Below are 23,720 nucleotides of genomic sequence, written 5' to 3'. Positions count from 1 at the left end.
TCCAAAAACGCCCTCCTCCGGCCCAGCCTGTAGAATTGGGCCTCTGGCCTCACATACTCAAAGTCCAGAGCAGACATTTAAGACTCTGCGTACACCAGGGGTGTCTGTCACTCACCAGGAGCCACCCTCCCAAAAACACTGGGACCCACCTAGCAGCTTCCTTTTCCAGGGGAAACAGAGTACAGGCTCGTGCTTGGGTTTTTCTTAAAAGGAACAGGAGAGAAAGGTAAAAGGATATTTTCCTTCAACAGCATTGATAATTAGATAAGAATAGAGTAGTCTCCCATACGCTAGCAGGACATTTCCAAAACACATATGGGTAACAAAATACAGAAAGAAAAGCACAGAAAACAAATTAGCCACTGGAGATTTTATTACAATAAGGAACTATGTAATATGTAGTTAATACAAAGTTTAGTTTAAGAAATGTTTGCGGCTGGGTGAGGTGGCTCATGCCTGTAATCCCAACACTTTGGGAGGCTGAGGCAGGCGGATCACTTGAGGCCAGGAGTTTGAGACCAGCCTGGCCAACATGGTGAAACCCTGTCTCTACTAAAAATAAAAAAATTAGCTGGGCGTGGTGGTGGGTGACTAATCCCAGCTACTCGGGAGGCTGCGGCAGGGGAATCGCTTGAACCTGGAAGGTGGAGGTTGCAGTGAACTGAGATTGTGCCACTGTACTCCAGCCTGGGCAACAGAGTGAGACTCTGTCTTAAAAAAAAAAGAAAAAGAAAGAAAGAAAGGAAATGTTTGCAAAGATCAACAGTGTCCCAGAGTTTTAAAACCAGATTAATACTTGTAATCACATGGAAAACACTAATGCCTTATGTGTACTCTTATTTCTTTTACAATTTTAATTAAAATAAAAATTTTTTAAAGTAGAGGCAAGGTCTTGGTATGTTGCCCAGGCTGGTCTTGAACTGCTGGGCAAAAGCGATTTCCCATGTTGGCCTCCTGAAGTGCTGGGCTTGCAGGCATGAGCCACCACGCCCAGTTGCCCTTATTTCTAAGTGTCTCCCCACAGATAAGAAGCTGAGAAGAGGGATATTCTTAGAATTTAAAAAATGAGGTGAGGCCAGGATTGCCAGGTGGCCTATTAAATTTGAATTCTAGATAAACAACAAATACTTTTTCGTATGTCTCGAATATTGCATGGGACATACTGATCATAAAGAATTGTTTACGGTTTACTTGAAATTCACATTTAACTGGTCATCCTGTATTGTTATCTGCTCCAACTGGCCATCCTAGATACTCTTCATCTCCACCCCAGTAGGAGAAGGCAGAGAAGCAAATTCTGGAGAAGCAGCTGGCAGGGACTCCAGAGCTGAGACCTCTGAGGCCTGGCTCCAGGGCGGCCCCCCGGGGCTGGGAAAAGGCCCTGGGCCTCTCTTTGAGCAATGTCTCCCGGGAGGAAACAGGCGGGGCCCAGCAGCTGCAGTAGGAAGCCTTGAAAACAATTCAGGCTTCTGGGGGCAGTCCCCAGTGCGGGAGAGGCAGGCTCAGTGTGGCAACATCCGCAAGTGCGCCTGGCCTGCAGACCACGCAGCTGGCTGTCTTCCCTGGGCTTGTGGGGGCCACCCTGACACCCAGGGGTACAGTACACCACCCCACACCTCAGCTGGCTCTGTCAACTCCCCAGCCTGCCCTGACCTTCCCTTCAGGCTGGGCTGTGCAGTCCTGCCTCTCATGGAATTCCCCCACATTCTCTGAGACTGAGGTCACTGAATGTCCCTGGGGCCTACAAGGCTGTCCTGCCAATTCAGGGACATGAGCTGAGTAACTGGTTATTTGTGCACCACCCAAAGGTACCCTGGGAAGGGGAGATGTGAGCACCCACTCCCTAGGAGCCCTGGGGAAAGGTCACTGGGTGAGAATGCAGTGGTGTCTTCTCAGCAACCCCGCAGGCCCCTTGCTAGCCAGCTCTGATGGGGCAGGCCTTCCTGGGAGCTGCTCTTGGGTCCCTTCTAGGTGAACAGGGAGGGAAGAGGGCAGGAACAAAGCGGGTGGGCCTGCCTGGGAGGCCTCAACCCAAAATGTGGGCCAGAGCGTTCATTAGAGAGCTGAGAAGGGAAGGAAGACAGTCCAGTAGCAGAGTATCTCTGTGATAATCTTGTGAGGTGCTTCAGCCCTATTTTGCACAGAAGACAAAATCGAAGCTCAGAGAGGTTATGGAACTACCCTTAGGGCACACCGTTAGCAAGTGGCGGGGTCAAAGATCCCACCTAGACCACTTGGGCTCTAAAACCTGGGCCCATTCTATTATTCTTTGCTGCCCAGGAAAATTCTGGTTTAGCTCAGGAGGAAACATCCACTGTCAACTCTGTTATTCTACATTGTCAGATTCCCATCTTTCCCCACCTCTCCCCACCTCCAAAACTTGGCTTGTGAAATTTCCACTAGAAAATAAAGCTGAAAGGAAACAGCTGTACTTCTCTGTGTCCACGCCAGGAACTCCAGCTCCCAGGCCCTCAAGCTTCCTCCCACAGAATTGAGTGCATGCGGTGTGGGCCAGGCCATAGTGGCCTGAGCATGTTGGGAACCGTTGCCGGTTCCTGTCCTTGGATGTCTCATTTGGTAATTCTGACAGACTGAAAACCACACTCCCTGGTGACCAGCCTCATAAATCTGACCTGTGTGTTTAATTGAGTTTGGTGAAACTTAGGGATATTGGCTCTCATGAAGAACCTCCCACCCTACAAGGGATTCCAGGTGTTGGCCCTGCCCTTTAGTCCTCCTCAGATCTCTCCACACAGAGGGAGTCAAGCCTTCCTTATCTTCCCCTTTTGGCCTTGGCTATTTCTCATACTTTCTGACACTCCCATCATATTGGGTCACTGTGTTTCCCCCTCATCATCGCCTTACAGCAGTAAAATGCCAAGAAACTTTCAATTCTGTGTGGGGTGGGGAGAGAATTAGTGAGTTGGGGGTAGGGTTTGGGAAGGCTTGAGGAAGGAGAGCTGGGAGGGAAGAGAGACAGCTCTGTTTCTTCTAACCTTTAACTTCAATCATGTCTTCATTTACTTGATAATGCACATATATTGGCTGGATGAGGTGATATAGGAGGAGAAGGCCTGCTGAAGACAGAGACAGAGATTGGAGTTATGCAGCCTCAAGACAAGGAAGGCCTAGAACCACCAGGAGCTGGAAGAGGTAAGGAAGGGAGGCTTTGGAGAGATTGCAGGCCACCTTGACTTTAGACTCCTGCCTCCAAAATTGTGAGAATACACTTCTATTGTTTTAAGCCACCCAGTTTGTGGTCATTTGTTTCAAAGGCCACAGGAAACTAATACAAGGAACAACTGCAAAATCCCGCCCCCCCCCCCCCCCCCCCCAGGAAAAAGAAGATAAGAGGCTGTCTCACTCAGCTCAGTCTGCTCTCACAAAAATACCACAGACAGCCGGGTGCGGTGGCTTACGCCTGTAATCCCAGAACTTTGGGAGGCCGAGGCAGGCGGATCACTTGAGGTCAGGAGTTAGAGATGAGCCTGGCCAACAAGGTGAAACCACATCTCTACTACAAATACAAATATTAGCTGGGCATCGTTGGGGGGTGCCTGTAATCCCAGCTACTTAGGAGGCTGAGACAGGAGAATCGCTTGAACCCGGATCATGACACTGCATTCCAGCCTGGACGACAGAGCAAGACTTCATCCAAAAAAAAAAAAAAAAAAAAACCCACAGACAGACACTTATTCCTTACAGTTCTGGAGGCTGGAAGTCTGAGATCAAGGTGCCAGCATGGTCGGGTTCTTGGTAAGGGCCTCTTCCAGGTCATGTCCTTACATGGCCTCTCCTTGGTGTGTGCATGTGGCGAGAAAGCTCTGGTCTCCTCATCTTCTTATAAGGGCGCTTATCCCACCATGGGGGTTCTACCGTATTGACGTCATCTAAACCTAATGGGTCTCCCAAAGGCCCAACCTCCAAATACATCACACTGGGGAAAGGGCTTCAGCACATGGATTTTGGAGCAACACAAACATCCAGTTCATAGCAGGGGCCTTTGAAAATGGAGAAAACAGAGATAAGTGAAACTCAAAGGACCAGTGAAGGACTTTCATCAGGGCTGTTGCAGATGAAGGTGCAGGTTGTGCGCTGCACAGCTCTCGGGTGCTATTTATCAGTGGTTGTAGATTTGTATATTTATTTCTATGTTTTTCCTGTAGGGGTCAGTAAGATGTCTTGAGGAAGAGGGGCCTTTTCCTAAAACACCCAAAGGCATTCTATGACCTTAGTGGGTTTTGGGGAGAAACATCTAGATTGCACTGTCCAGTAGAATTTTCTGCAAGGATGGAAACATTGTACATCTACACCACCCAATACTGTAGCCACTAGTCAAATGTGGCCCTTGTGCACTTAGAATGTGGCTTGTGCTACCAAGAAGTTGAATTTTAAAATTTATTTAATTATAATTGTAAATTTAAATATCCATATGTGTCTGGTGACTACCATATTGGATGCACAGCTCTAGAACAAGAAAAATGGCAGCTCCGGACTGTAGAATTTAGTCACTACAGACATAGGCATTATTCATTTGATATTGTTCAGAGGCCCCTCTGCAACTGCACCCCTTGTTAGGAGGGGGTGAGGGGGCTGAACAGGGACCCAAGGTGATGGCCGAGGTGGCACAGACAGTAGCGGGTACCAGGGAGCATAAGAAATGCCCCAGTGGACTGGATCAGGGTCCAGCAGTGGATGGAGGAGGACAGAAAGGCCTGCCTGAGGAGGAGTTCTTACTCTCCAGCCAGCTGGATTTCCCGTCTTAGTGGCGTTTTCTGAATATGTCCATCAGGAAGTTAGCTAAACTCTTTTTTTTTTTTTTTTTTGAGACAGAGTCTTGCTCTGTTGCCCAGGCTGGAGTGCAGTGGCGTGAAGCTAAACTCTTTTGAACCTACTTGTGTTTTGATCTCTCAATTTGGAATAATGAACTTTTATAAGGAGATAATCCTAGAGATGGGCAGAGGGTACTAGTCTGGAGCTCCAGGGCCTCTAGGTCTTTTGGTCCTTGAACAGGGCTCCTTAGGAGCAGGTCTGTTAACAGTCCCAGGCAACTCTCCAGCAGGAAGGTGGGATCCCTCCCTGTCTGTGTCGTCTCATATCACCCAGGTACAGCTGCACATGAGGGAGGGATGTCGAAGCTGCTGGGGTTCATTTTGTTTTGTTTGTTTGTTTGTTTTTAGACAGGGTGTTCTGTCACCCAGGCTGGAGTGCAGTGGCGAGATCTCAGTTCATTGCAACCTCCACTTCCTGGGCTCAGGTGATCCTCCCACCTCAGCCTCCCACGTAGCTGGGACTACAGGTGTGTGCCACCATGCCCAGCTACTTTTTGTATTCTTTGTAGAGACGGGGTTTTGCCATGTTGCCAGGCTTGTCTCAAACTCCTGGTCTCAAGCAATCCTCCTGCCTCAGCCTCCCAAAGTGCTGGTATTACAGGCGTGAGCTGCTGTGCCCAGCCAAAGCTACTGTTTCAACTGCTGGAGAAGAGGACATTTAGCCAGTGGTGGCATCATCCATGCACGGACTGGAAGACTTCTCCACTGTGGGAAGAGAGGTCTCAATATGTCATGTGATCCTCAATACACTCTCTGCTCCTGTTGGCAGGCAGTGAGGGGGGTTTTGCAGGAGACTTAGGGGGGTAGCAAATGCTGGCAGGACAGCAAGGGCCTGGTGACTCCCTGGCAGCATCAGCAGCACTCATGGACTTGTTGGAAATGCGGAATCTCAGACCCGACCCAGACTTAGGGAATCTGTCTGTCGTAAGCAGATTCCAGGTGATTTGGGTACAAAGCAGAGGTTGAGGAGCACTCAGCTAGAACAAGGCCCATTGCCTGGCATTGATTTAACGGACTTGTGTTGAATTAGTTAACAGAGCTGAACTGACCTTGCTGTTTCCGAATTTTGTTGGCTCCACTGCCCTGGAGAACCTCTCTCTGAAACATAAATCTGCCAAATGGCTTCCAAGCCTTATTAGCCCAAATGAATCCCCTCTAATGCAGTGGGTATTCTGAAAGCTGAGAGTGAAATGCGTTCCACATGCCTGATCTTTGGGGGAGCCACCTTTGGGGCTGGGGAGTGAGAACCTCCTTTCAAAGCCAGCTCTGAAGCTTGGCTCTGCATGTGTGGCCACTTATCCTGCCACACCTGAGAGGCCCTGTGTCCTGCCCCATGGGGAATGGTTGCAGTATCTCCGCCCTCACCTGTGGCTTCTCCACACCCAAAGCCTGGTAAAGAGGTGATCCTTCTCAGAATTTGCCAAAGAAAGCCAGCAGTCCATGGCTGATATCAAAAAAGCATTAGGGCTGGGTGCAATGGCTCACACTGGTAATCCCAGCACCTTGGGAGACCAGGGCAAGTGGATCACCTGAGTTCAGGAGTTCGAGACCAGCCAGGCCAACATGGCGAAACCCCGTCTCTACTAAAAATACAAAAATTAGCTGGACGTGGTGGTGCGCACCTGTAGTCCCAACTACTTGGGAAGCTGAGGCAGGAGAATCGCTTGAACCTGGAAGGCGGAGGTTGCAGTGAGCCGAGATCGTGCCACTGCACTCCAGCCTGGGCGACAGAGTGAGACTCTGTCTCAAAAAAAAAAAAAAAAAGCGTTAGATCCTGCTCTCAAAAGCCTTAAAGAAACATATCATCACACACTTAGAAAGTGGTATTAGTGAGCCTACAACATCTGTACAACAACAGCTCTTTCAAATAATATTCCTAAGAGATTGCTCATTTTTTTAAAGTGCAAAATAGAATTATAGTCCTCTCTTGGCTGGGCGTGGTGACTCACTCCTGTAATCCCAGTGCTTTGAGGGGCTGAAGTGGGAGGATTGCTAGATGCCAGGAGTTTGAGAGCAGCCTGGGCAACATAGGGAGACCCCATCTCTATAAAAACTTTAAAAATTAGCTGGGCGTGGTTGTGCATACCTGTAGTCCCAGCTACTTGGGAGGCTGAGGCAGGAGGATCACTTGAGCCTAGGAGTTAGAGGCTGCAGTAAGCTATAATCACACCACTGCACTCCAGCCTGGGTGACAGAGTGAGATCCTGGCTCAAAAAAGAAAAAAAAAAAAAAAAAAGAATTGCAGTCCTCTCTCATTTTTAAAATAAAAATATATCTATGTTCATAGAAAAAATAATGTCTAGAGGGGTATTTTCCAAATTCTGTGGTGTCAATGCGCCCCAGCCAGAGACCACCAGGACCACACGTGGAGTTGGGTTTACCAGCTTATTGCAGTTTGGAAGCACGCACACCATGGGAACCGTGGGGTGTCCCAGTAAGAGGAGCAGGAAAGGACTCATAATAAGATGTGGGCCTGGGGTAGGTAGCTGGAAGCTTGGGGATGGTGCAAGGAAGCAGATCTTTGCTCTGGATTGGATGAGATGAGTGTCTAATAGTTCTTATGGAGATGAATTGACTGAGGCTATAAATTGGTAGAAACAACAACCACACACAAAAACAAAGAAAATAGTCACCCATTAGCCAGGATAGGGGGATGGTGGGTTATTTTTGTGGTTTGGACTGTGCTCTTGTTTTTGTTTCGATCTTCACAGTCACAGTGGCCTTGGCTGGTGCTGGTGCTCTGAGACGCTGATTGTGCTCAATGGGACATCAAGCCCCAGCTGTGACAACCAGGTCAGCTGCTGGTTCTCCAGTTCTCAACTGGCGTCACCTTTGGGTGTTGAGATTAAGGGCGATTTTCATTTTCTACTTCATGTTTTTTTTGGGGAAAATAGTGTGTTACATTTGCCTTTAGAAAACAAGCAATTTCTTTTTTAGAAAAAGATTACCTATATAAGAAAATGCTGAACAGGATAAACCATGTGCCAATACAGTTAGGCAGGAGGAGCAGACAGCCCAGCACAGAGTCCCCTGAGAACATGTCACAAAAGGCCACCCAGGTCATGCAGAACAGCTCCACTCAGACGCTTTCCCAGGAGGGAGGCTGGGCGTGCCCATATTTAAGTTTAGATTGGATGGAAATTGATGTTGCTCAAGACCTCACCCCAGGGTCCAGGTGGCGAGAAGCATGGCTGGCTTGTCTACACTGGGTGGAGGCCACCTGGACACCTGCGTGGTGAGGCTCCCAGATAAGAGGCCATGGCATGGCCTGGAGCTCCGGCTCTCAGCTTTGCAGCCTATTGAAATCACCTGGCTGTTTTGAATGTCTTTCCCCAGTGCTCAGCTACCTGTACCGATCAAATAGGGATCCCTGGTGGTGGGGAGCTCATTCCCAGCATTCCTTTAGCTCCCCAGGTGATTCCTCCAGCTTTTCTTGTTCTGCCTTTACCCAGCTCCCTTATTTATTCTGCTTCTGAGTCTCTACCTCCTCTTTTCCACTCCCATCATCTTCTGGATCCTCACAGCTCTCCTCCAAATCACCTCTGTCCCTCCACACACCCAGACTGATCCATGTAAATAAAAATCAAAGTCACTGGTTCTCAACCCTGGCTGCATATTTAGAATCACCAGGGGAATTTTAAAAAACACAGTGCCTGGGCCCCACCCTCAAAGTTTCTGATGCCATTGGGCTGGGGGTGGGACCCAGGCGTTGATATTTATAAAATGTTTCCCAGGGGATTTTACTGGGCAGCCAGGATTGAGAAACACAGCTTTAGGTATTTTAACTCCCCAGCCCAGCAGGGAGTAAGTCAAGGAGCTAACCCTGTAAACTGAAGCCTAGGAGTTTTTTTGTTTTTCAGATAGGGTCTTGCTATGTTGCACAGGCTGGTCTCGAATTGGCCTCAGGGGATCCTCCCACCTCAGCCTCCTGAGTAGCTGGGCACAAAAGTTCTTTAGGGTTCCTTTAGGGGAGTGTGCCACAAAGGGGAATACTCTGTACCCCGCTTTGCCACAGAAGACTGCATAGCTCTGTCTGTTCATGTATAGGCAGCCAGGTAGAGTGGTGGGGGAAGAGTTTGACAGGTACTGCGGAAGTACATGAGCTGGTCCCTGGCAGAAGAGGAGAGGGGGAAAAAGATAGGAATTGTGTCTTGGCTGCTGTCCTGACATATTCAAGGGGAACTCTGCAGAGGACTGGCTCCTGCAGAAGCAGATGGGGGCAAGAGCCAGGAAACAGCACACATCAAGACTTGTTGGCACAGATCTCTGAGCCAAGCAGGCTGCAATGGACGCTAGTGTCCCACCCAGACCCTCTGCACGACCCAGGACCTCCATCCCCAGTAGCAGGAAGTGTGGCCTGCTAACTGCTCATAGCTGAGTCCCTCCCCAGACGCTGCCCTCAGCCGAAGGGAGCTGCCTGGTCCAAGGCCATGGGCCCCGTGCCACCTGCATACAATAATTGTTGATGAGGGGGTACACAGACCTGGCCCCTTGCATTATTTTGGGACATCCGGGCTTCTGAGCTCTCCACAGGACCAGTTGAGGTCTCTGTTGCAAATGCATCTCAGTTCAGCCTCTGCCCTACCCAATCCTGCTTCATTGACTTCCCTGCAGGCGTAGCTCTAGCTATCTCCCTAGTAAGCCCCATGTAAGTCTGCCTCAGAGCCTGTTTCCTGACCTATGAGCAAGACTCTTAAATGTATGTGGGTGAAAAATGAACAGGCCAGGAAGGTGTGTAGGGGGATTGCATTACAGCTGCTTTGTGGGTCTTATGGAACATTTGCAGGCTCAAAGGACATGGAAACAGAAAATCTGATCGTATCACTCCCCCGCTTAAAATTCATCAGTGACTCCCGGCTGCCCAGGGGATGGCTTCTGAGCTCTTCATCATGATTTGAGTGCTTTTTTGTTATCTGGCCTGACCACCACTGTGGGTACCCACTCTTCTCCCTTGCTCTCCAGGTAATCAAAACTCTCTGCAGTTTTCCATCCTCCCACCCTCCCTGAGGCTGTCTCCTACCCCTGCCTACACAAGCGCTTGATGTTCCTGGAGAGCCCTCCCCTCTTCCTCACTGGGTCACTCGCATCCCCTCATCATTGAAATCATCTGTCTACTTGTTCTCTTCTAGCTGGTACATTCAGTGAGGCCCAGGGCCAGGTCTGGTCATCTGCTCCCCCAGGGCCCAGCACAGTGGTCAGCCCCTAATGAATCTTGTAGGATAAATGAATAAATGAATGGGAAGGGTGCAGTCTTTGAAGTGCCTTCACTTTCTGGGTATGTGATCTTGTGCAAGTGACTTAACCTCTCAGCCTCATATATAAAGAGGAGAAAATAATACACCTTATAAGGCTCCTGGAAGAATGAACCAAAAGAGACGACCTTGAGAAAATGCCCACCACAGTGGCTGTTAGGGAGCAGATGCCGCCGTCATGGTGGAATCACTACAATGTAATCTGGTTTCCATCCATTGAGATCAAGATTCCCTGATGGGTTGTGAATGTGGACAGAGTGGAATTTTTATTTATAGTCAGCTCTGATGCAAAGAGAGCAGGATGTTAGATGATGCTCATGCTGACATGTAGTGATCACTCACATTAGGTGCATGACAGTGGTAAAATGTATAGGGGTGCACAATAACACCATTTTAGGTGCATTCATCTTTTTTTTTTTTTTTTTGAGATGGAGTCTCGCTCTGTCACCAGGCAACTGTTGCTCACTGCAACCTCCGCCTCCCGGGTTCAAACAATTCTCCTGAGTAGCCTCCCGAGTAGCTGGGATTACAGGCATGTGCCACCACTCCCGGCTAATTTTTTGTATTAGTAGAGACAGGGTTTCACCATGTTGGCCAGGCTGGTCTCAAACTCCCGACCTCAGGTGATCCACCCACCTTGGCCTCCCAAAGTTCTGGGATTACAGGCATGAGCCACCGCGCGGGGCCCGCATTAGTCTTTTTAAATTCTCACAAAAGCCTAGGAGCATACAGGTTAAAGCCACTCCTTTAAGGACAGAGCCAGGACTCCAGATCCAGTGGCTTCTGCCATTTTCTGTATCACCAGGTTCCAGTGACTCTGCTGTCCACTACACCCCACCACTGCAGCCCATCACTCAAGAGTGCCACAGCCTGTGGCAGGGACTGTCTTTCGGGGATGAAGTTTCCACTGCTTGAAAGCAGGTGTGTTTTCATTGATCCTCAAGAAATTAGGTAGTAATGGAGTGCCATGCTGTGTGCAGTACAATGTTGGGAACCGTGGGCTCTACTAATAGGGATGGACACCTGCCAGGTGGAACTTTGAGGGGTGGTGTTCTCAGCACTTCGCCTGCACAGCAAATGTCCAGGCCCCAACAGGATCCCACAACATGCAGCCAGCCCACCCCGAGCCAGGTGCTGTGTGGGTTGAGGAATCCCTCCCGCGATAGCTCCCCTGTGGAGGACTGGAAGGGAAGCAGTACTCACTGCGGGTCTACGGTGTGCAGAGAACTTTTGCTTGTCTTCCCAGCAGTCTTGAGTGGTGGGCGTGACTGCCCACTCCGTCTTCCAGATTTGGAAGCAGATGGAGAGCCAAGGAGCTTTGTTCTGCCCCATTTTCAGCTTGGAGCTGGGCCCCGCCTGCCCTCCCAGGACAGATGGTGTACCGCAAGGATGAAGGTGGGGTGGGGACCGGACTCTGGAGACAACTTAGACTTTCCTTGTCAACACCTGGCCTTTAGGGCATGGCGGTGGAAGACTCATTTATTCACTCATTCATTCATTCATCCGAAACTTTTTTTGTTGTGGTAAATTACACATAACATAAAATTCACCGTCTTAACCATTTTAAAGTGTGCAATTCAGTGGCATTTAGTACATTTACAATGTCGTGCAGCCATCACCACTGTCTAGTTCCAGAATATCTTCCTCCCCAGAGGAAACCCTGTATCTGTGAAGTAGTCACTCCCCATTCCCCTCTCCTCCCAGGGCCTGGCAACCACTACTTTACTTTTTGTCCCTATGGACTTGCCTGTCCTGGATATTTTATATAAGTGGAATCATACAACATGTGGCCTTCTGCATCTGGCTTCTTTTACAGCATAATTCTTGTCATAGCATGTATCAGTACTTCATTCCTTTTCATGACTAAATAATACTTCATTGTATGGAAGTACCAGATTTTGTTTGTCCATTCACTGTTTGATGGACATTTTGGGTTGTTTCCACCTTTTGGCTGTTATGAATAATGCCGCTATGAGCTTTCATGTGCAAGTTTTTGTTTGAACACTTGTTTTCCTTTCTCTTGGGTCTATATTTAGGGGTGGCATTGATGGCTTTTGTGTGAACTATACATTTAACATATGAGGAACCGCCACACTGTTTTCCAAAGTGGCTGCATCATTTTACATTCCCACCAGCAATGAGGGCTCTAATTTTTCTACATCCTCGCCAACACTTGTTATTTTTTCTTTTCTTTCTTTTTTTTGTTATGTCGCCCAGGCTGGAGTGCAGTGACTACTCACAGGTGAGATTATGGCATACTGAAGTCTTGAACTCCTGGGTTCAAGCAATCCTCCTGCCTCAGCCTCCCAAGTAGCTGGGACTGCAGGCCTGCAGCACCACACCTGGCTACTTGGTGTCTTTTTGATGATAGCCATCCTAGTAATGTGAAGTGTTATCATTGTAGTTGTTTGATACATACTTTTGACCTTTACTGTGTTCCAGGCACCACGGTAGTCACTAGGAAGATGGCAGAGAACAAAATAGACAAAGCCCTTCCCTTCTGGAAGTTCTATTCTAGTGAGAAATGCTCTAGTAGAGTGGAGTTAAGAGGCCAGGCAGCAGGGACATGAATACAACTCGCTGCAGCTGGGAAAGCCGAAAGGCGTATGCTTTAGGCTCTGCTATTTCTCTTCATCCTGGAAGAATGGAGCAGAGTTTACAAACTCAAAGTCGATGTACAGGACACGGCCAGAGTGATGAGTGTGCACGCAGCATGTGTGCATGGTTGGATTGGAGGGCGCCAGCCTTGCCTCAAGGGCAGATGCTCCATAGTACCGGCTTCTTACTACTGACTGGTAAAGTAGACTTGGTCTTGCCTGTGCTCTGGATGAAAATAAAATTTTTATTTTATTTTTTTAATTAATTTTTTTTTTTTTTTTTTTGAGACGGAGTCTCGCTCTGTCGCCCAGGCTGGAGTGCAGTGGCGGGATCTCGGCTCACTGCAAGCTCTGCCTCCCGGGTTCACGCCATTCTCCTGCCTCAGCCTCCCAAGTAGCTGGGACTACAGGCGCCCGCCACTACGCCCGGCTAATTTTTTGTATTTTTAGTAGAGACGGGGTTTCACCGTTTTAGCCGGGATGGTCTCGATCTCCTGACCTCGTGATCCGCCCGCCTCGGCCTCCCAAAGTGCTGGGATTACAGGCGTGAGCCACCGTGCCCGGCCTTAATTTTTTTTTTTTTGAGGCAGAGTCTCTCTCTGTCACCCAGGCTGGAATGCAGTGGCGCTATCTTGACTCGCTGCAACCTCTGCCTCCTGGATTCAAGCGATTCTTCTGTCTCAGCCTCTGAGTAGCTGGGATTACAAGCACGCGCCACCATGCCTGGCTAATTTTTCTACTTTTAGTAGAGACGGGGTTTCGCCATGTTGGCCAGACTGGTCTTGAACTCCTGACCTCAGGTGATCCACCCACCTTGGCCTCCCAAAGTGCTGGGATTACAGGCGTGAGCCATCGTGCCCAGCCAAAATTTGTACACTAAATCTCCCAAGTTTTCAATGATGGCACAGACATTTTTTAAACATTGCTTGGGGGACAGTTTAACTTGTGATTCTGACGGGGATGATATTTCTCAGTTGCAGAGTCTCATCCATCGGGTAAGAATTTATGGGGGTGTGTCTGGGAATCTGCCTTCTTAACAAGCTTCCTCCCCTGCCCCCCAGGTGGTCTGATGCACACTGAAGTTTGAGAATCACCAAACTGGAGTTGTAAGGACAACAGCTTCCCGCCAGTGGAGGGCTGAGCGGGCAGGATCATGTTCCCTGTGTCAGCCTGAGCATCCCATGGCCTGGTTCCAGCTTCTCAGGGCAAACAGCCATGCAGAGAACATATCTCTTTGTGCCAGAAAGGGGGGGGCGGAGAGGGGACCTGCAGGAGGAGCACCCCACCCCCACCCCAGGCTGGCTTCGACTCTCCAAAGCCCCACGTGGTTAGATGCCCGTCCTAGTGGCTTTTGCCCTAGTGGGCAGTGGGACTGCAAACCCTAATGCCTTTTGCTTCCCTGGTGAACTTTCTCTGGATGGAAACACTTTGCAGGGGAGACTGTCCAAATAGAGATGTCAGGTTCCATGAGAAGGCAGCCACAGGTCTGTGGACAGCCCGGGTGTTGACAGACAAGTGTTAAGCAATATGTTTGTAGGTCTCTTGCTTAATTGTCACAACTGCAGTTAAAACTAGTAGTTCTCTGGCAGGGGTGTCAGTTCCAAAAATCCACAGGCTCCTCTTCAACAGCTGTGAACACCCTGGCCTTTGTAGATGTTTATTCTGAAGCTGCCAGGGCACTTCACCTGGTTCACCTGATAGCCCGGAATGCTCCGTGGGATTAGTATTCCCACCCAATATTTACAGGTTCCCATAGTTCAAGGACTCAGGATGGGCTCCTTCCCCAATGTGTCCTCTGCCTGCTCATGTAGTGGTGAGGTGCAAATATGCATGTTGGCAAAAATGTGTGTTTTTCTCCAGATGGAGAAAAATAGAAATCTGGAGTTCATCTTCATGGGAATAATCATCAAAGCAATCCATCCCATTCACCCACCAGCCCCCAAATACTCACATGTTACTCTACGGAAAGAACTTTGGTTGATTTTTCCAATAGGAAGCAACAAGGAACAAATTAATAACCTATGTTTCTGTGTACATTTCTACGTCTAAAGGGTCCATTTAAGTAAAGCCTTCTTCCTAGATTACTCTGAGCAAATATTTTTAGTTGTTAAGAACCATAATCAATGTAAGATATAACAGCTGTAAAACTTATAGTAGTCATAATACCTGTAATAAAATATTAAACTTAGTAGAGAATATAGGCAATAACCACAAGGGCTAATGTTTATGGAGCACTTACTCTGGGACCAGGCATGGTGCTAAGTGCTTTACTCAGATTATTTCACTTAATCTTTACAACCCTATGAGATTTAATCCTCAAATCCAATCAACCAGGGATGTAATGTTACCATCTTACAGACGGCGAAATGAAATCTTGGAAAGGCTGAATGTACAAGATGTTTTACATGGTTATATCATTGGATCCTTAGGCTGACCCTGTGAGATTGGCCCCCTCAATGCCCCTATGGAAAGGTGTTATCACCTTTTTATGGTTAAGGGAACTGGAGTGGGGGAGTGGTTAAATAGACCCACAATTGCACAGTCATTAGGCAGAAGAGACGAGCTTTCCCATTAGATAAAGGAGATGGGATTTGTACCCAAGGAGATATGGCTCCAGAACCTACTCCTTGACCTTTAAGGTTTTTTGTTTGTTTGTTTGTTTGAGACAGGGTCTTACTCTGTCACCCTGGCTAGAGTGCAGTGGCATGATCTTGGCTCACTGCAGTCTCCACCTTCCAGGTTCAAGTGATCCTCCCTCTTCAGCCTCTCGAGTAGCTGGGACTACAGGTGCATGCCACCATGCCTGGCTAATTTTTGTGTGTGTTTTTGTTTTTGTTTTTTTGAGACAGGGTCTCATTCTGCCACCCAGGCTGGAGTGCACTGGTGCAATCTTGACTTACTGCAACCTCCGCCTCCTGGGTTGAAGCGATCCACCTGCCTCAGCCTTGCAAAGTGCTGGAATTACAGGTGTGAGTAACTGCACCTGGCCAACCTTCAAGTTATATCAGGCATGTTTAACCCAAGGAAACACAGCTTAGACAGACAGACATATGCAAGTATGTTCATTGTGTCAGTGCTTGTGAAAGGGAAAAAAGTTGACAACAACCTAAATGTCTGTCAGTGGGGAAGGTCACACCAGTTAGGAAATATGCATTCTAGATGGCACATGCAAGTATTAATAGGGGTGATTATTTGTGCTGACATGGAAAGATACAGGCGATACAGAAAGTGAAAAAAGTTAGTTGCTATGTAATAGCATAGCATCATACCATTTAAAACCGTGGGGGTATGTTACATTTCATCAATTAAGAGCACACTTATATTGGACATTGGGTAATGTGCAGAGAGTTTAATAAGAGGAATATTTATAGAGTTGTGGGCAGGATATATGGAAACCACCAGGCACACTGCGGTCCCCTGGGGCACATAGCACTGGGGACTCTATTATCACTTGCTGTGTCATCAACATAAAATATAACTGCTGTGAAGCTCACAGTGTAATCCAAAGGCAGAGATAAGGATGCAGAGGATCCATGCACAGGAGTTGAGACTGTAGTGGACACAGTCACCTCACTGAGACAGCCAGGGAGGGAGATGGGGAAATCAGTACTCTCACCTCCCTCTCTCCTCCCTTTCTCCCATCTCCACCTGGTGCCCCCCAGTTGTCAAACCCACCTGGAAGCCCAAAGGTGAGGGAGCCCATTGCAGCAGGTCAGCCTCCCGGGGCACAGGGCAGAGTGGGGAAGTGTGCAGAGTAGCCCTGGAGGGCCCCTGGAAAATTGTCAGCACATTCATACTTAAGTACGTATTTGTAAGTGCTTAGAAAAGGAATCTGAATACCAACTGGTAAGAGAGGTTTCCTTTGGGTAGCAGGATAAGACAGGAACTTTCATTTTTTGTTTTGTTTTGAGACAGAGTCTTGCTGTGTCACGCAGGATGGAGTGGAGTAGCATGATCTCGGCTCACTACAACCTCTGCCTCCTGGGTTCAAGCAATTCTCCAGCCTCAGCCTCCCAAGTAGCTGGGATGACAGGTGCCCACCAGCACTCCCAGCTAATTTTTTATATTTTTAGTAGAGACAGGGTTTCACCATGTTGACCAGGCTGGTCTCAAACTCCTGACCTCAGGTGATCCACCCGCCTCGGCCTCCCAAAGTGCCGGGATTACAGGCGTGAGCCACTGCGCCCGGCAGGTACTTTCACTTTTTACTTTATGTTCTATATGGTTTGAATTATAACAAAAAAGAGGCGTAGCTTGGGATGAAGCTACAGTGTCAGACTGCCAAAGATGGCTGCACCGGCCACATCCCATGCCGTACGTTCTTCTTGCAGTGTGATAGTGACGTCCCTCCTTGGAGAGGTGGGGCATGCTCCATGGCCTTGAACCTGGGTGAACCTTTGAAATTGCCTCTGTTGGTCTAGTGCTGTGGAGATGATGCTGTGTGACTTCCAAGACTAGCTCATAAAAGGTAACATAGCTCCTGCTTGTCTCTTGGAATATGTGCCTTCAGGCCCCTAAGTCAACATGGAAGCAGTCTGGGTACCCTGAAGCCACTATTGCTGGGGAGACCACATGGAAGGGCCCTAGAGCAATGCAGAGAGATGCCTGTGGAGCCCCTGCTGGGCAGCCCCCAGCCCAGACAGCAGACCTGTGAGTGTGGAGGTCTTCCAGTTGACCCAGCCCTAGCCACGATGGGACTGCAATCCATGGGAGAGCCTGCTATAGTTTGAATGTCCCCTACAAAACTCATGTTGAAACTTAATCCCCAAGGTGGCACTGTTGAGAGGTGGGGCCTTCAAGAGGTGATTGGATCATGAGGACTCTGTTCTTATGAATGGATTAATGTATTCATGGATTAATAGATTAATGGGTTATCATGGGAGTGGAACTGATGGCTTATTAAGGAGAGGAAGAGAGACCCAAGCTAACACATTAGCACATTCAACCTCCTGCTCCACTTTGGGAACCTGCAGAGTCTCCACCAGCAAGAAAGCTAGCATCAGATGTGTCACCTCAACCTTGGACTTCTCAGCCTCCAGAACTGTAAGAAATAAATTCCTTTTGGCCAGGCACAGTGGCTCGCGCTTGTAATCCCAGCACTTTGGGAGGCTGAGGTGGGCAGATCGCTTGAGGCCAAGAGTTCGAGACTGGCCTGGGCAACGTGGTGAAACCCCCATCTCTACTAAAAGTACAAAAAATTAGCTGGGCATGGTGGCACGCACCTGTAATCCCAGTTACTCTGGAGGTTGAGGCAGGAGAATCACTTGAACTCGGGAGGCGGAGGTTGCAGTGAGCCAAGATCACACCACTGCACTCCAGCCGGGGCAACAGAGCGTGACTCTGTCTAAAAAATAAATAAATAAAATAAAATAAATGTCTTTTTTCATAAATTACCATTTCAGGTATTCTGTTATAAGCAACAGAAAAGGGACTAAGACCCCCAGCCAGAATCACCCAGTCAAGCAGCCCCCAAATCCTGTCTCTTAGAAGCTGTAAGAGGTAATAAATGACAACTATTGCTTTAGCAGCTACGTTTTGGGGTGATCTGTCACTCAGGAATAGGTTTGGTACAAGCTGGGAGGAAGCATGAGGACTAATTCCCAGCAGGCCTCCTGAAGCTCCATGGAGACTGATTTTAGAAGAAAGACTAGAACAGAAATCCCGTTTGGCTCCTCGCCCTTGACCCGTAAATCCAGGTGCACTTTATTCTTCACAGTCACGTCTCCTCCCCAGTCTGTTGCAGGGACCCATATTGAGCTGGGGTCCACTCTCGATTTCCTGCCCTTCCCTGCTCACTCTCATTTCTCCCTCCCCTCCAATCCCCTCCCCTCTCCTCCCCTCCCCTTCCCTTCCTTACCAACCTCCCCCCTACCTCTTTCTCTCTTTCTTTCTTCTTCCTTTCTGACAGAGTCTCATTCTGTCTCCCAGGCTAGAGTGCAGTGGCGCAATGCGATCTCAGCTCCCTGCAACCTCTGCTTCCCAGGTTCAAGCAATTCTCCTGCCTCAGCCTCCTGAGTAGCTGGGATTACAGGCAGGTGCCACCACACCTGGTTGATTTTTTTTTTTTTTTTTTTTTTAGTAGAGATGGGGTTTTACCGTGTTGGCCAGGCTGGTCTCAAACTCCTGACCTCAGGTGATCCACCCGCCTTGGCCTCTCAAAGTGCTGGGAGTATAGGCATGAGCCACCATGCCTGGCCTCCTTTTTTTTTTTTTTTTTCTTTTGAGACAGAGTCTTGCTCTGTCGCCCAGGCTGGAGTACAGTGGCGTGATCTCAGCTCACTGCAACCTCCACCTCCCAGGTTCAAGCAATTCTCCTGCCTCAGCCTCCCAAGTAGCTGGGACTACAGGCGCACACCGGCACGCCTGGCTAATGTTTTGTATTTTTAGTAGAGATTGGGTTTTGCCACATTGGCCAGGCTGGTCTCGAACTCCTGACCTGAAGTGATCTGCCCACCTTGGCCTCCCAAAGTGCTGGGATTACAGTTGTGAGCCACCGCACTTGGCCTCTCATTTCCTTTCTGAGTAACCCTCTTAGTCTTCTTATTTCCTTTTTGCCCCCACCTGCTGCCTGGTGAGCCCCCAGAGGCTCCTGGCCCACTGTGTGTTTGGAGGCCTGGATCTGGAAACTCTTCCCACTCGCAGCAATTGTGCCGTGGATGTTGGGCACTACCTGTCCGGAAAGGACCGTCCACCCACTTTTTGGAGCTAGTACCTCCCACCAAGACTTTGAATGATAATTACTGTCTTCTTGTGGATCTCTCCCCCTTGCCCACTGTAGACTGGCCAGGAGACAGCACTGACCCAACAGGCTGGTCAGAGCCCTCTTCTGGAAATTTCAAACTTGGAAGCACAGGGAGGAGGGCAGTTTGTTTCTCTGTGAGAGCTGACGGTAGCTTTGCAGTGGATTTTGGAGGAAATTAGTCTGCAGTAGATGAGAATAAATCCAGCCTACAGGAAAACAGGAACTAAAGATCCAAAAGGGGAGGCCAGGGGCACACTGATTCCTGAGACCAGGGATTTGCCATGGGATTAGAGTTCAGAAAACAGAAAAATTAAAAAGAGAAAGAGGCCAGACAAGGTGGCTCACATCTGTAATCCTAGCACTTTGGCAGGCCAAGGCAGGAGGATTGCTTGAGCCCACGGGTTCAAAACCAGCCTGGGCAACATAGCAAGACCCCCAATCTATAAAATAAAAATTAGCCAGGTGTGGTGATGTGCAACTGTAGTTTCGGCTACTCAGAAGGCTGAGGCGGGAGAATCACTTGAGCCTGGGAGGTTGGGACTGCAGTAAGCTGTGATCACCCCACTGCACTCTGGCCTGGGCCACAGAGCAAGACCCTGTCTCAAAAATAAAAAGTGAAAAACAAAAAGAGAAAATTCCTGATCCCTGTCTTCCAAGACCCACCTGCATCTCCTTTCTATGACGTGGTTACACAAGCCCAGCACACCTGATGTTTTGCCTGTTTGATCTCAAAAGGCTGGAGGGGGGAAGAGTTAGCAGGAGCGAAGTTGCAGGGTTTTAATCCTGGCTTGCCAAGCTCCATGACGTTGGGCAGGTTACTCAGTGACTATGTCTGTAAAATAGGGATGATAATAGGATTCCTTCCTCATACGATTGTTGACAGGAGTGAGTAATTAATGTAGAGAGGGTTGGGATGGGGCCTGACATACAGTAAATGCTGTATGATATTTCCTATTGTTACTTTTACTTGAGTTGGATTTTCTGTTACTTCAACTGCAAGATCAAGACAAAACCTTCCTTGGTTGCCTCTGGGTTAAAATGTTCCTAAGCACCCACATGTCCCAGGAACGGGAAATTACCAAGCCACTCAGGTATGCCAGGAAGTGCCAATCAGAAGCGCTTTCCCCATGCCAGGCCCTGGCATCTACCACCCACTGCTGGGCTGTCCTGTTTCCATGCAGAAAGGGTACAGCCGTACAGCTCTCTCCCTGCCCTTCGGCCCACTTAGGCTGTTCTCACGCTCCGGCCCTCTGATTTGGAAACCAGACCCGCTCCTTCCTGGGCAGCACCTGGCCCTGCCTCGGTCTCTGTACCTACAGGAAACCAGATGTGAGGCTGGTTTATGGAGGAGTGAGAAGAAAATACAATCTCTCAGGATGTTTGTTCTAGTTCCTTTCTAACCCTAGCTTATCTTGTTACTTGGCCTCTATTTTTGTTTGTTAGTTTGTTTGTTTGAGACAGGGTTTTGCTTTCTTACCCAGGCTGGAGTGTAGTGCTGTGATCTCGGCTCACTGCAACCTCCACCTCCCAGGCCCAAGGGATTCTCCTGCCTCAACCTCCTGAGTAGCTGGGACCAGGGGCATGCGCCACCACGGCTGGATAATTTTTTGTATTTTTAGTAGAGATGGGATTTCACCATGTTGGCCAGGCTGGTCTTGAACTTCTGTGTGATCCACCCGCCTCAGCCTCCCAAAATGCTGGGATTACAGGTGTGAGCCACCGCACCCGGCCTACTTGACCTCTATTAAATGTCTGTGCTCACCACCAGTCAGGCAACTGAGTTAGAGGAACAAAAGAACTTCTGGTAAGAGAGAAAATGACAGGAAATTCAATTCACTGGGATTTGTTGGGGAACCTACTATGTGCACATCACATGGAAGAAACAGGAATGGACAGCAGCACTGATACAGGCAGGGCAGTGGCTCATCAACAACTCCCCACAGGAGGACTTCCTTCTGCTCCCATCCTCATCTCTGCTGCCACTTCTGCCTTCCTGGTGGGGGTTGGGGGATTTTTCGGGGGTTGGGCATGCTTGCAGGGAAGGGAGGCAGAGGCAAGGGGAGTGAGCAAAAATGAGGAACCAATGCTGTGGCTGACACGGCAGTCCCAGCAGGAGGGCTGGACAAGACACTGCAATGGAAATGGTGGCCTGGGAGCTCCAGGCCAGTTCCAGGTGTGGATCTGATTTGAAGGAGGAGGATGGGATCTGAGCGTCCCATGTGTGGAGTGGAGGCCAGCAGGCTCACCTAGGAGCCAGCCTGGGAGAGTAGGAGCCCCAGAGAACTCAGCAGAAATTCCTTCGCAGGCAGCTCGGCTGCTCCTTGGGATGCTGGGATACCTAGAATAGAGAGCTCATGATTTCTAGGCTCGTTAGGCCTTGGGCCTAGAGTGTCAAAAGTCAATCTTTCCAAACCCTGTTGGCCAGTGTGAGGAAGGGACTCATGTTCTGCTTTGCTGTTTCCATGATGTCCAGGGAGGGCGGGGTACCCTACAAGGGTCTGAATGCTCTTGTGGGCAACCGATGTGTATATGTCAGGGTGGTGTTGGGGGTGGGAATTGGAGGCCAGTTCTACTGGTTTTCTCACATGGGTCCTGAGTAATAATCTTAGTCCTGCCGCCCACTCACCCTCTGATTTTGAGCATGTCATTTACTTCTCTGGGCCTCAGTTTCCGCATCTGATAGATGACAGGGTTGGCTTCAGTCATCTTTAGGTCCCTGCTGCCCTCACAGCCAGGGGGGTAAACTTTGCCTCAGGAGGTAAGCTGGGTATGCACCCTCACAGCTTTGGCCTTCAGGGAAGGAAACTGAGTCAGAAGGAGCCTTGAACCACTTGGCATAAGGAATGAAGGGCTCCCAACTCAGCCTTTACTAGCCCTTCTCAGCACTTGCTTTCTGCCTGTGTTTTTCTAGAATCCTTCTGTCCCCTGACTTCACTGCTGAGGACAAGTCTGCATTCCCTAGGCCACTGCTCAGCATGGGGAGGGTTCCAGGAGCTGAAGCCAGGCCAGGTCTGAAGGAAGTCAAGTCGGGGGTGTAAGGATTGGCCAGATTCAGGCTCAGGCTAAAACATGCCCAGATGGCACTTCTGAGGGGGGATGGGACAAAAGCCACTGTGGCAAATCACTGACCATACCTGTCACCCTGGAGCTTGGCTCCAGGCTGCTGTTGTCAAGAAAGGAGAGGGTTGCTAAGAAAACAAACCCTCTGTAGCTGGCAGCTGCCTGACGCTGGCCCCAGCTGTGTTCGCAGACGACATGCAGACCTGAACTCGTGTTTGACAGAGTTTGTGTTCGTCAAGGCAGTGAAGAGGAAACTTTCTGGCAGGCAAGAAAAGCTCAGTAATGCCTCCAGGAAAAGGCACGTCGTGCTGAACTACCTCTTTCAGCTGGCTTGACATGAAGCTGTTTTGCAAGAACTTTATTGTGACTGCTCCTGAAGTATGAAATTCACTCCGGGATCCGGGGAAGTGCTCTGCAGAAGGCAACGAACTTCATTGTTCTTGCATATTTTCCATGCATAAGCCAGAGTCCAGAAAGCAGCGTCAACATTTTCGTGAGGTGTCTTACCTATGGTGGTCCTTCCATCTTCATGTCTGTTTCCCCAGACAGACATGAGCCACTGAGGGCAGGGAGCCCAAGCCCTTCCTCCTGGGTGCTCCCTCCACCCCCAGCCCACTGCCTTATTCATAATTCCAGAGTCTCCTGTAAAAGTTGCCTATTGCAGGTTCATTATTAAGGACAATGGGAAGAGGAGAAGCCAGAGGAAGACTTTGTAGAAGGCTGAGCTCCTCCAGAGGAGTGGGAGCCCTTGGGCTATCCCAGCATATAACCTCCCACCCCATGCCCCAGTGACTCCACTGCACACTGCAGGACAGCATGCTATGTGCAGGCTGCTTGAGGCTGACCGTGCATCCTTGCCCAGATCATCTCAGCCCAGCTGCAAATCCTGGCCTCCATTATCAGGAAGATACTCAAGCTGGGCCCACGTGGACCACTGGCTGGATGGCACCATGCATCCTGTGGCCTGCTAACATGGGAGGACCCTCGTGGGAGGGACATAGCTACCATCTGCACCTCTGCAGAGCTTTCACTTAGTTCTTGTTGTTTTGGGGCAGCTGTCCTTCTGTCAGTTTTCTTCTGGAAAAACAAAGCTCCCCTGGAAAGGCTCCTCAGAGCCGGCCCTACCCAGCCAACAGCAGGACACTCTTGCAAGACCAGCTGCTTTGCCCCCACCGGACTCCCTCCCCTTCTGTCCTCAGAGATGAGGTGCCCACCCACCCCACCAGCCAGAGTGTGG

The 23,720-nt window shown here is 49.3% G+C and overlaps 1 long non-coding RNA gene across 1 annotated transcript, besides 9 other annotated features; it reads left to right on the top strand.

Moving 5' to 3' along the window:
* Positions 926–1,821: an enhancer, noted in NCBI's record as "H3K27ac-H3K4me1 hESC enhancer chr8:103801212-103802107 (GRCh37/hg19 assembly coordinates)". NCBI's record gives its function as "activates a minimal SCP1, AML or CMV promoter by ChIP-STARR-seq in naive H9 embryonic stem cells {active_cell/tissue: H9 hESC(naive)}" and the evidence as "EXISTENCE:reporter gene assay evidence [ECO:0000049][PMID:30033119]".
* Positions 926–1,882: a biological region, named in NCBI's record as "H3K27ac-H3K4me1 hESC enhancer GRCh37_chr8:103801212-103802107".
* Positions 1,223–1,282: an enhancer, noted in NCBI's record as "active region_27775". NCBI's record gives its function as "activates an Ori minimal core promoter by ATAC-STARR-seq in GM12878 lymphoblastoid cells {active_cell/tissue: GM12878}" and the evidence as "EXISTENCE:reporter gene assay evidence [ECO:0000049][PMID:35858748]".
* Positions 1,623–1,882: an enhancer, noted in NCBI's record as "active region_27774". NCBI's record gives its function as "activates an Ori minimal core promoter by ATAC-STARR-seq in GM12878 lymphoblastoid cells {active_cell/tissue: GM12878}" and the evidence as "EXISTENCE:reporter gene assay evidence [ECO:0000049][PMID:35858748]".
* LOC124901999 (uncharacterized) lies at positions 1,748–14,869 on the top strand. The gene is made up of 2 exons (XR_007061040.1): positions 1,748–3,153; positions 10,890–14,869. It is a non-coding gene; the product is annotated as an uncharacterized LOC124901999 (long non-coding RNA).
* Positions 1,953–2,072: an enhancer, noted in NCBI's record as "active region_27773". NCBI's record gives its function as "activates an Ori minimal core promoter by ATAC-STARR-seq in GM12878 lymphoblastoid cells {active_cell/tissue: GM12878}" and the evidence as "EXISTENCE:reporter gene assay evidence [ECO:0000049][PMID:35858748]".
* Positions 7,556–8,056: an enhancer, noted in NCBI's record as "H3K4me1 hESC enhancer chr8:103794977-103795477 (GRCh37/hg19 assembly coordinates)". NCBI's record gives its function as "activates a minimal SCP1, AML or CMV promoter by ChIP-STARR-seq in primed H9 embryonic stem cells {active_cell/tissue: H9 hESC(primed)}" and the evidence as "EXISTENCE:reporter gene assay evidence [ECO:0000049][PMID:30033119]".
* Positions 8,735–9,234: an enhancer, noted in NCBI's record as "H3K4me1 hESC enhancer chr8:103793799-103794298 (GRCh37/hg19 assembly coordinates)". NCBI's record gives its function as "activates a minimal SCP1, AML or CMV promoter by ChIP-STARR-seq in primed H9 embryonic stem cells {active_cell/tissue: H9 hESC(primed)}" and the evidence as "EXISTENCE:reporter gene assay evidence [ECO:0000049][PMID:30033119]".
* Positions 13,418–13,922: an enhancer, noted in NCBI's record as "H3K4me1 hESC enhancer chr8:103789111-103789615 (GRCh37/hg19 assembly coordinates)". NCBI's record gives its function as "activates a minimal SCP1, AML or CMV promoter by ChIP-STARR-seq in naive H9 embryonic stem cells {active_cell/tissue: H9 hESC(naive)}" and the evidence as "EXISTENCE:reporter gene assay evidence [ECO:0000049][PMID:30033119]".
* Positions 16,479–16,678: an enhancer, noted in NCBI's record as "active region_27772". NCBI's record gives its function as "activates an Ori minimal core promoter by ATAC-STARR-seq in GM12878 lymphoblastoid cells {active_cell/tissue: GM12878}" and the evidence as "EXISTENCE:reporter gene assay evidence [ECO:0000049][PMID:35858748]".

Source organism: Homo sapiens, chromosome 8, assembly GCF_000001405.40.
Source record: "Homo sapiens chromosome 8, GRCh38.p14 Primary Assembly".
NCBI lineage: Eukaryota > Metazoa > Chordata > Mammalia > Primates > Hominidae > Homo > Homo sapiens.
This window is presented reverse-complemented; position numbering and strand designations above follow the sequence as displayed.